Raw genomic sequence first — 12,205 nt, forward strand, 5'->3', positions numbered from 1 at the left:
GAAGATCCTACTGGTACCCAGGTAATTTCATTATAGCTGCTTTATGTCTCCAGACTACTGAGGTTTAAATCTCCTCTCTGCTGTTTACTAACTTGGTGATTTGGTGGTAAGCAACTTCATCTCTCTGTGCCTTAGTTTCCTCATTTTTAAATTTCATTCAATTCAATTTAATTTTTATTTTCTGTTTTTGAAACAGGGTCTCTCTGCACCCAGGCTAGACTGCGGTGGCACAATCATAGCTCACTGTAGCCTCTACCTTCTGGTCTCATGTGATCCTCTTGCCTCAGCCTCACACAACAACATGCCTGGCTAATTTTTAAATTTTTGGTAGAGATGGGGTCTCACTATGTTGCCCAGGCTATTCTCAAACTCCTGAGCTCAAGTTATCCTCCCGCCTTGGCCTCCCAAAGTGCTGGAACTACAAGCATGAGCCACTGTGCCAGGCCCTCTTTCTTCCTTTTTAAAATGAGGAAATAATGGTGCCTACTACTAGGGTTGTAAGGATTAAATGAAGATATCTATAGATAGATAAATAGATATAAACAGAACAGTGTCTGACACAAAGTAAGCACTCAATGAATGTCGGCTGTTATAGTTCTTTTTATCACCATTCCATTATTAATGTCATGCTGCAGAGATATCCTGAAGGCTTTCCCAAAGGCCCATTGCAACACTACTCTTAATTCCTCTGGAAGATGTGCAATAAAATTGTCTGAAAATAAATGTGTACTGTAGTCTTTCTCAAAACCCTTAAGCATTGATTTTTATTTTTAAATAGTTCCAGTACTTCTTATAGGTTAGAGGCCAAAGATGAATGATATCTGCTTAAGATCTTCCTAAGTGATTAGTTGTGTTGTCCTTAAATGTGTTCTTCTTTTAGCAGACAGTTTTTCAGAAAGAAGGTGCTCACCAGATTTGAGGTATTAGAAAATGGTTGGGGAGCACTATAATTTGAGTCAGAGGACTAAAGTTTCAGTTCTGATTCTAGCACTTCTAAACTATGTGATGTCAGGCCTCCAAATTTATTATGTGTGAAATGGAAATTATATGAAAGCTGTGTATTTCCTTACTGTAAAGCTATGTTGATGTATATAAGACATTATTTGAATTGTCCAAATGCTGTATCCTGTCAAAGCACAAGGTCTTTCTTAGGCCCGGGTCAGGGTTTCCAGTGCTCTGCTTTCTTTTTAGTTGTAGGTTCTAATGACTCTGCTTTGCACCCCTTGTCACTTTATCTCTAGGCATTTTTCCCTTTCAGGGTTGGCCAAAGGATGGGATGTTTTCTTCTTAGCCAGCACCTGCTCCAGTTCCTTGGAGGCACTGTTCACTTTTGTAAGACAAGCTGATCATTATAGGAAATGCCACTTTTGTATAATATAAACTTGGGGACATGACAAAAGTTACATAATTTTATCAAACTCCTGTAGTCACAGTACCTGGAATGTGGTTTGTGATGTCCTGCATATATGAGACATTGACCCACTGGCGATGGGACTCAATCTTCTTCCCTATTTCTTCCTCCTCTGTTTCCTTCTATAGGACCCATGCCCTTAGGAGAAGGACCAGAAAGTCCAGCTTGTAGACACAAAGGCTTGAAGAGCCAATCCAAGCAGAATAATGGTTATTACCTCAAGTTGGTAATTTGCATTTCTGGTGTCCTCCTGCCTGAGTGATTCACATCTCAATGGCCCAGGCCATATATACTATAACCCCCTTTTGTATATTTCCTTACCACTTCCCTGACAGCTTTTGTGCAGCTGTCTGGTCTCTCTTAGGCACTTAGAGCAGAAATTCCAACTCTAGAGAAGAGCAAGAGGCTCATAAATCCCTCTTCAAAAAAAAACAGAGCCTTCTTTAAGACCTTCTGTGGGCCTTAATTTTCTTCAGTTTTCAATTTTGCCTGGGTAAATATTTTTTAAAATTAAATTTAAAAAAGGAGGTTATATACCTTCCCAGTATCTTTCCTTATAGTCATTCCTACCAATATTTAGAAGGTTGACCAGGATTACCTAATGGCTATTCCATTTGGCTGTTTTCTGGGTGAGGGCACTAGCCAGAAATGGCTGAGACATTATTAATTGTCAGCTCTCCCTCTTATACTATTTTACTAAAATATTTGTGATATAGGAGGGCCAAGAAGTATTTTTCAGGCTCCTTGATTGTTGCTATTAAAGCTTTTGAAGATGGGCAGTTATAGTTCTGGATATGGCTCTATCTTTCCTCATTTCCCTGATCATTCATTCCTTTATTCACTGGACATTAGTACATAGTGTATAGGAGATGCTCTGCTAAAAGATAGGGATACAAAAAAAGGAACAAGACTAGGTAACTATTGAAGGGCTCACCTGGTGGTGAAGGAAACGGACAGTTCCTCTTTGTGCCAGGTACTGTTGTAAATACTTGAACATATATCAACTTGATACATCCTCATAGTAATTCTGTGACCTGGTACTATAATTATTCCCATTTTACAGATGAGAAAACAGACACAGGAGGCTGGAAAAACTTTGCCCAACTTCTTACTGTTAAGAAGTCACAGAATCAGAATGTGATTCTAGGCACTCACTCCAGAGCCCACATGTTTTACTACACTTTGAGAGCAATGTGGAGTATTGACCAGAAGGGGAAGGAAGTGACTATGAAATGATGAAGGGCTAGATTTAAGAGATATATCTGCAGGAGAATTATTATAGCTGATAACCAACTGGCTGAAGATAGGGAGAGAGGAGTCAAAGGTGGCTGACCCCTAGGTTTTTAGACTGATAGACTGGGTTTATGGTGGTGCTAGAAATTAAGATTAGAAATATAAGAGGTGGAGCAGGTTTGTGAACTCATGGGGTATAAAAGTCCTATTTGATACACAGGACAGATTCTTTGGGCCAGAGTTCAAGATTCTGATAATCAACAATAATAATGGTGGTGATAATAGCTAACTGAGAGTGTTCTATATGCCAGGATTTGTTTTAAGTGTATTTACATGTACAGTTATTCATCCCTTAATGAAGGGGATATGTTCTGCAAAATACATCCTTAGACAATTTTTACATTGTGTGAATATCATAGAATGTACTAACATAAACCTAGATGGTATAATCTACTACAACCTAGGCTATATGGTATAGCTTATTGCTCCTAGGCTACAAACTTCTATAGCATGTTACTGTACTGGACACTGTAGGCAGTTGTAGCATAATGGTGTATATTTGTGTATCTAAACATAGAAAAGGCACAGTTAAAATATGGCATAAAAGATTTTAAAATGGTGTACCTGAACACCACTTAACATGAAGGAAACTTGCAGAACTAGAAGTTGCTCTGAGTAAGTCACTTAGTGAGTAGCGAGTGAATGTTAAGGCCTAGGACATTACTGTACCTTACTTTAGACTTTTTAAACAGTGTACACTAGGCTACACTAAATTTATAAACAATTTTTTCTTATAAATTAACCTTAGCTTACTATAACTTTTTTAGCTTAAAACACAAATCCTGTACAGCTGTACAAAAATATTTTATTTCTTTGTATTCTTATTTTATAAGCTTTTTTCTATTGTTAATTATTTTTTTTTTGCTTTTTACAAGTTTTTGTTAAAAACTAAGACACAAAGACACATCAGCCTAGGCCTATGAGGGTCAGGATCATCAATATCACTGTCTTCTACCTTATATCTTGTCCCACTGGAAGATCTTCAGGGGTAATAACATGCATGGAGCTGCCGTCTGGTATGACAACAATACCTTCTTCTGGGATACCTCCTGAAAGACCTGCCTGAGAATGTTTTATAATTAACTTTTTTTTAGTAAGTAGAAGGAGTACACTCTAAAATGATGATAGAATGTATAGTGTAGTAAATACAGAAAACAATAACATAGTCATTTGTTATCATTGTTAAGTATTACATACTGTATATAATTATATTGACTGACAGCACAGTCGATTTGTTTACACCAGCATCACCACAAATACATGAGTAATGCTTTGCACTGTGACATTACAGCGGGTATGATATCACTAGGTGATAGGAATTTTTTAGCTCTGTTATAATTGTATAGAATCATTGTCGTATCTATGAGAACACTTGGACACAGGAAGGGGAACATCACACACTGGGGCCTGTCATGGGGTGGGGGGAGAGCGGAGGGATAGCATTAGGAGATATACTTAATGTAAATGACGAGTTAATGGGTGCAGCACACCAACATGGCACATGGATACATATGTAACAAACCTGCACGTTGTGCACGTGTACCCTAGAACTTAAAGTATGAAAAAAAAAAGAACAGTGTCGTATCTGTGGGTCATCGTTGACTGAAACGTCATTACATGGCATATGAATGTATTAACATGGAATGTTCACATTAACTCTGTTAAGGCAATACCGTGTTACCCCCTCTTTTGGCAGGTGAAGAAACTGAGGTTCATAGAAGCTAATATAGCCTCTCAGAATCACTCTGCTTCCTCAACTCTGCTGTCTCTTAATCCATAGGAATCGAAGAACAGATTGGAGTTGGCTGTCTTAAGTTGTACTTGCTAGAAATAATGAAGCCTGTTGAAGGTGTTGTGTGAATGCAGAGGGAGAATCGAATCTTCTCCACTCCTACGCATGGTTCTGGCAGCAACAAAGAAAGCTCTCCTGGCGTTTTGGTGCCCCCCTGTGGGCTGTATGAGAGTTACCTGACCTCACATTCTTTTTCCACCATCACACCTCCTTTTCCTGTCTTAGAAATCAGAAAAAGCTTAGCTACCCTCTCTACCACCTCTCACTTCATAGTTAATTACACCTCAGGCATCTTTCATGCATAAATTCTCTAATTTTCTTTCGTTCTTTTCCACCCTTTTCCAATTTCTGTACTTGAGAAAACACATTCCCTCACTCTCCTTTTCTGTCACTGTCATCAAAAACCTTCGAAAATGTGATTAAACACCTACCATGTACCAGGCAATGTTCTAGGGCCTTGGAATACATTAGTGAAAAAAACAAAGATGAAAGTATCTGCCTGCAAGGAGCTCAGATTCTATTGGAAGTCAGTTTTCTTAATTCTGGCTTCTACTATTCTTATTACTTACTACAGTTCCTCCATTAACCTGTTAAAAGAGAAACTTTAGACAAATTACACTTAACAGTTTAATCGAGCAAAGAATGATTCATGAATCAGGCAGCCCCCAGAAGAAATAATAGATTCAGAGCAACTCTGGGGCTGCCATGTAGTCAGATAATATTTATGGACAGAAAATGGAAGTGAGGTACAGAAACAGCTGGATTGGTTATATCTCAGTATTTGCCTTATTCAAACACTTTGAGTTGTTGACTGCCTGTAATTGGCTGAAACTCTGTGATTGGCGCAACAGTAGATTACACTGTCTACACATCCAGTTAGGTTATGGTTCATTATGGATGGGGAAACCTTTAGGCTGAACTTGAAATATGTAAGGAGGAAGCTTTAAGCTAACCTTAATTTAACAAACCCCACCCCCAAGTTCCATGGAAGCCTTAGGGTTCTGCAGAGGATAGTCTGAAATCTTTTAATCATAGATGGACAAGTTGTGGCTTAGGAAAAAAAAGGCCTTGCCAAAGATTATGGGATGTGAGTGCTGCACATCTAACTCCCAGAAAATCTGGTTGAGGAAGAAAGCTAGTAGGTGCTTCTAGTATGAATGACTGATGGTTTAAGGCAGCTGAATTAAGACACTAATTCCTTTTTTTAAGAGGAAAAACTAAAGAAGAAAGAGAAAACTGTTTTTATTACCCCACCTGGCTTGCAGATTTAAGAGACGTAGACAGATAAAATACGTCTCTAGAGAGATTTGGCCTTGATGTGTAAATAAGTTCACTCGGGTAAATATATATATAGGAGCTTGGAACTCCTTCAAGCAAGAACTAGACCAGGAAGGTAGAATACTGAAAACTGTAGCTATACTGATGTTCCTCTGAAGGCAGAGCATGTTGGAGAAATAGGAAGAAACAGATTACCTGCATGCAGTTTGGTGGAGGGGAGCAGCTAATATTATTGGGGAAAAGTTAGGTCCATCTTGATGAGTAAAATAAATCAGAAGGTTTCAATGACTTATCAGTATCTGGTAAGCACTGAAAGATAAAGGTCATAGAACACACATAACATTAATGGCATATTTATGCATATAGTGGGTTAGATTTTATTCTGAAAGTTGTCTTTTCCTTTTCTCTTTTCCAGATATGGATAAACTCATAAACAACTTGGAGGTCCAACTTAATTCAGAAGGTGGCTCAATGCAGGTATTCAAGCAGGTCAGTTATCAGGAAAATAGGGTGCTAATATTGGGCCATAATAGTATTGAATACCTGGTAGTGATTACAGAATTTAAACTCATTTTTCTTTCTATAACATGTTTGGGGATTGAGAAGAGGTGAAGGAAGACATATTTCTAGAAAGTATATGAATGCCTTGGTTTCATAGTCAGCTGGGGAGTAGATCTGGCCTAAAAGAAACATAGCCTCTGGAATCAAGGCTATAAAGACAAGAGTAGACCTTTAGTAGACAATAGCAACTATTTATATAGCACTATTTCATATTTCAGATAGGATGAAGATTAAATGCATTGTCTTATTTAATCTTCACCATAATCCTGTTGAACAGTGTATTAATTAGTATTCTCCAGAGAAACAGAACCAACAGGATATGTGTGTATGGTGTATGTGTGTGTGTATGCATATATGTACATGGAGAGAGAGAGAGAGAGAGATTTCAAGAAATTGGCTCATTAGATTGTGGAGGCATGGCAAGTCCAAAACCCCATCAGGGGTAGGCCGGCAGGCTGGAGATTCAGAAGGAGTTACAGTTTGAGTCCAAAAGCAGATTGTGAGAAGAATTCTTTCTTGCTCTATGGAGGACAGTCTTTGTTTTAAAAACTAAGGTCTTCAACTGATTGGTTGAGGACCACTCACATTATAGAGAGTAATGTGCCCTATTTAAAGTACAATGTTTTAAATGTTGGTCTCATCCAAAAAAATACCTTCACAGAAACATCTAGAATAATGTTTGACCAAATATCTGGGCACTGTAGCCCAGCCAAGTTGTCACATAAAATTAACCATCATTATTCTTAGTTTCCCCATTTGATGGAAAATAAAACTGGCCTTGAACACTCCAAGAATTAGGATTCGAAACAGGTTATCTGGATTTTATGTCCCAGGGCTCTGTGCTAGATGTTGAAGTCCCGTCTTTCTTGGGGTTGCAAATTCACTGCATGAGTGAAACTCAAATACAGTCAAAATTAACCTTGAAAATCCTTAAATCACCTATAGACTTGAGTATACAGTGTTGTATATACAATACTTGTCTGTTTCTTTATTTAATTCATCAGATAAAGTTGGTTACATTTAGGAATCTTTTTGTTATAATTTCAACTTTTATTTTATTTTTTGAATTTTTATATATTTATTTATTTATTTATTTATTTATTTGAGACGGAGTCTCGCTTTGTCACCCAGGATGGAGTGCAGTGGCACAATCTTGGCTCACTGCATCCTCTGCCTTCCAGGTTCAAGCTATTCTTCTGCCTCAGCCTCCTGAGTAGCTGGGACTACAGGCACGCACCACCATGCCCGGCTAATTTTTGTATTTTTAGTAGGGACAGGGTTTCACCATATTGGCTAGGCTGGTCTCGAACTCCTGACCTCATGATCCGCCCACCTCGGCCTCCCAAAGTGCTGGGTTTATAGGTGTGAGCCACCGTACCTGGCCTTATTTTTAATTTTTGTAGGTACATAGTAGGCGTATATATTTATGGGATACATTGAGATGTTTTCATACAGGCATGCAATGTGAAATAATCACATTATGGAGAATGGGGTATCCATCCCTGCAGCATTTATCCTTTGTGTTACAAACAATGCAATTACACTCTTTTAGATATTTTTTAAGTGTACAATTAAGTTATTATTGACTCTAGTCACCCTATCATGCTATCAAATAGTAGGTCTTATTTGTTATTTCCAACTTTTTTTTGTTTTTGAGATGGAGTCTCTCTCTGTTGCCCAGGCTGGAGTACAGTGGTGGCTTCTCAGCTCACTGCAACCTCCGCCTCCCAGATTCAAGCAATTATCTTGCCTCAGCCTCCTGAGTAGCTAGGACTACAGGCACATGCCACCACGCCCAGCTAATTGTTTGTATTTTTAGTAGAGACAGGGTTTCACCATGTTGGCCAGGCTGGTCTCAAAATCCTGACCTCAGGTGATCTGCCCATGTCGGCCTCCCAAAGTGCTGGGGATTACAGGAGAGAGCCACTGCACCCAGACAATTTCTAACTATTTTTTCGTACACATTCACCATGACCACCTCCTCCTCAACACCCCACTGCCCTTCCCAGCCTCTGGTAACCATCCTTCTACTCTCTATGTCCATGAGTTCAATGGTTTCGATTTTTAGATCCCACAAATAAATAAGAACATGTGATATTTGTCTTTCTATACCTGACTTATTTCACTGAACATAATAATCTCCAGTTCCACCCATGTTATTGCAAATGACAGGATCTCATTCTTTTTATGGCTGAATAGTACTCCATTGTGTATCTGTAACACATTTTCTTTATCCATTCATCTGTTGATGAATACTTAGGTTGCTTCCAAATCTTAGCTATTGTGAATAGTGCTGCAACAAACATGGAAGTGCAGATATCTCTTTGATATACTGATTTCCTTTCTTTTTGGTATATACCCAGCAGTGGGATTGCTGGATCATATAGTAGCTCAATTTTCAATTTTTTTGAGGAACCTCCAAATTGTTCTCCATAGTGGCTGTACTAATTTACATTCCCACCAACAGTGCACAAGTGTTTTCTTTTCTCCACATCCTCACCAGCATTTATTATTGCCTAACTCTTGGATAAAAGCCATTTTAAATATCTCATTGTAGTTTTGATTTACATTTCTCTGATGATCACTGATGTTGAGCACCTTTTCATATACCTGTTTGCCATTTGTATGTCTTCTTCTGAGAAATGTCTATTCAAATGTTTTACCCATTTTTAAATTGAATTATTAGACTTTTTTCTATTGAGTTGTTTGAGCTCATTATATATTCTGGTGATTAATCTGTTGTCAGATGGGTAGTTTACAAATATTTTCTCCCAATCTATGGGTTGTCTCTTCACTTTGTTGATTGAATCCTTTGCTTTGCAGAAGCTTTTTAATTGATGTGATCCCATTTGTTCCTGTTTGCTTTGGTTGCCTGTGTTTGTGGGGTATTGCTCAAGAAATTTTTGCCCAGACCAATGTCCTGGAGATTTTCCCAAATATTTTCTGCAGCAGTTTCATAGTTTGAGGTCTTAGATTTAACTCTTTAATCCATTTTAATTTAATTTTTGTATATGGTTAGAGATAGGGTTCTGGTTTCATTTTTCTGCATATGGATATCCAGGTTTCCCAGCACCATTTATTGAAGAGACCACGCATTCCCCAATGTATGTTCCTGGCACCTTTGTAAAAAATGAATTCTTTGTAGATGTATGGCTTTATTTCTGGGTTCTCTATTTTGTTCCATTGCACTGTATGTTTGTTTTCATGCCAATACAATGCCATTTTGGTTACTATAGCTCTATAGTATAACTTGAAGTCAGGTAATGTGATTCCTTCAGTTTTGTTCTTTTTGCTTAGGATAACAGGCTATTCTCGGTATTTGTGGTTTGATATAAATTTTCGGATTTCGTTTTTCTATTTTTGTACATAATGTCTTTTTTTCTTTTTCTTTTTTTTTTTTTTGAGATGTTGTCTCACTCTGTTGCCCAGGCCGGAGTGCAGTGGCACAATCTTGGCTCATTGCAACCTTCACCTCCTGGCTTCCAGCAATTCTTGTGCCTCAGCCTCCCAAGTAGCAGGGACTATGGGCATGTGCCACCATGCCCAGCTAATTTTTTTTTTTTTTTTTGGCAGAGACGGGGTTTCACCATGTTAACCAGACTGGTCCTGAACTCCTAACCTGAAGTGATCCACCCACCTCTTTGTGTTCCCAAAGTGTGTCAACAGTGAACAATCTGACAAAGCAACACTTTGCTTCCCAAAGTGTTGAGATTACAGACATGAGCCACTGCGCCCAGACAAGAATGTCATTGGTATTTTGATAGGGATTTTATTGAATCTGTATTGTGTTTTAGGTAGCATTGAAGCAGGATATTTCCTTGACCCCTTCGTGGGTGGGAACTGGAGTGCACTGGTGCTGGACCTAGCTGGCGCTTTGGCACTAGCAGGGGCGAATTCCACTCACTTAAACCTGCTGTGTTCTACCCCTTGTGGGAGGGGAATCACAGGTCAGTGGGTGCAGGAGCTGGGGTGAGTGCCTTTGGGCACCGGCAGGAGCAAAACTCTATGCGCACCCCACAGCAGAGTCCGGGGGGCGGGGTGCCTGCGACCCTTGAAGCCCCAGAAGGAGTGTTACAGTACCCTTTTAGCTTTGCTGTTTGCAGATGGCTTAAGCATTAACAGCTCACCAGAGGGTCAGTGTGACAGCCTTCTGCACCCACACTGAAGTTCTTGTCTGGCATCCAGGAGGAATGAGGTTACACAATGAATCAAAGGTGGTTAATGTGGGAGATTTTATTGCTGATCAAAGTGGCTATCAGTGGGAGGGGGAGCTGAAAAGGGGATGGAGTGGGAAGGTAATCTTCCCCTGGATTCCAGCTGTCCCCATCTGGACTCCTCTCCAAAGCTATGCCATCAAGCTGTCCCTCTGAAGTCAAGCCACTTCTCTCCAACATCCAACTATAATCTCCAACGTTTAGCTGCTTCTCCTCTTTCTGCCAGCTGAGCCTGGGTTTTTATGGGCACAGGATAGGGGGCAGGGTCAACCATGGGTGGTTTTGGAAAAGGCAACATTCAAGCAGGAAAACGGAAATATAAGTTCTCACTTTGGACTGTGGTTCCAGGCTTCAGGGTGGGGCCCTCACCAGGGACCTGCCCACTTCTGCCTAGAATTTCCCTGCCTCCTGTCCCTGTCAGTATGGACATTTCAACAATATTGATTCTTCCAATCCATGAACATAGAATATTTTTCCATTTTTTGATGTCCTCTTCAATTTCTTTCTTCAGTGTTTTATAGTTTTCATTGTAGACATCTCCCACTTCTTTGGTTAATTTGTAGGTATTTAATTTTATGTGTGGCTATTGTAAACAGGTTTACTTTTTTATTTCTTTTTCAGATTGTTCACTGTTGACATAAAGATGCTACTGATTTGATTAGTTTGATTTTCTATACTGCAGCTTTACTGAATTTGTTTATGGGTTCTAATAGTTTTTTGTGGAGTTTTTAGGTTTTTCCAAATATAGGATCATATCATCTGCAAACAAAAATAATTTGACTTCTTTTTTTCCAATTTGAATGCCCTTTATATCTTTCTCTTTTCTGATGGCTCTAGCCAGGACTTCCAATACTATGTGGAATAACAGTGTTGACAATGGGCATCCTTGACATGTGCCAGGTCTTAGAGGAAAGGCTTTCAGTTTTTCCCCATTCGATATGATACTAGCTGTGGGTCTGTTTTATATGGCTTTTATTATGCTGAGGTGTTACTTGTATCCCCAGTTTTTTGAAGGGATGTTGAATTTTATCAAATGCTTTTTCAGCATCAATTGAAATAATCATGGTCTTTAATCCTTCATTCTGTTGATATTATGTATCACATTGATTGATTTGTGTGTTGAACTGTCTTTGCACCCAGGGATCCCACTTGGTCAGGATGAAGGATCTTTCTAATATATTGTTGAATTTGGTTTGCCAGTAGCTTGTTGAGGATTTTTGCATCAGTATTCATCAGAGATATTGGCCTGTAATTTTCTTTTTTTGAAGTGTCTTTGTCTGGTTTTGGTATCAGGGTAATACTGGCCTTGTAGAATGAGTTTGGAAATAGTTCCTCCTCTATTTTTCAGAATAGTTTCAGTAGAATTGGTATGAGCTCTTCTTTAAATGTTTGGTAGAATTCAGCTGTGAAGCCATCAGGTCCTGGGCTTTTCTTTACTAGGAGACTTTTTATTATGGCTTCAATCTCATTACTTGTTATTGGTCTGTTCATGTTTTGGATTTCATGGTTCAATCTTGGTAGGTTATATGTGTCTAGGAATTTGTCCATTTTTTTCTAGATTTTTCAATTCATTGACATGTAATTGCTCATAGTGGCTACTAATGATCCTTTGAATTTCTGCAATATCAGTTGTAATGTCTCCTTTTTCATTTCTGA

General features: G+C 38.8%; 1 protein-coding gene across 18 annotated transcripts in view; it reads left to right on the forward strand.

Moving 5' to 3' along the window:
* KLF8 (KLF transcription factor 8) overlaps nt 1-12,205 on the forward strand; it is a 383,409-nt gene that overhangs the window by 335,919 nt on the left and 35,285 nt on the right. For 15 of the 18 annotated variants that reach the window (NR_136705.1, NR_136704.1, NM_001324105.1 and 12 more), the window contains one exon: nt 6,190-6,263. The exons of the other annotated variants lie outside the window; for them this stretch is intronic. Coding sequence is in view for 13 of the 15 variants with exons in the window: in NM_001324104.1 (NP_001311033.1) it covers nt 6,190-6,263 (74 nt within the window). In the remaining 2 variants the exon portion in view is untranslated. The remainder of the gene's footprint in view (nt 1-6,189; nt 6,264-12,205) is intronic. 18 annotated transcript variants of the gene reach the window in all.

This window comes from Homo sapiens, chromosome X (genome assembly GCF_000001405.40).
Source record: "Homo sapiens chromosome X, GRCh38.p14 Primary Assembly".
In the NCBI taxonomy this organism is placed as follows: domain Eukaryota; kingdom Metazoa; phylum Chordata; class Mammalia; order Primates; family Hominidae; genus Homo; species Homo sapiens.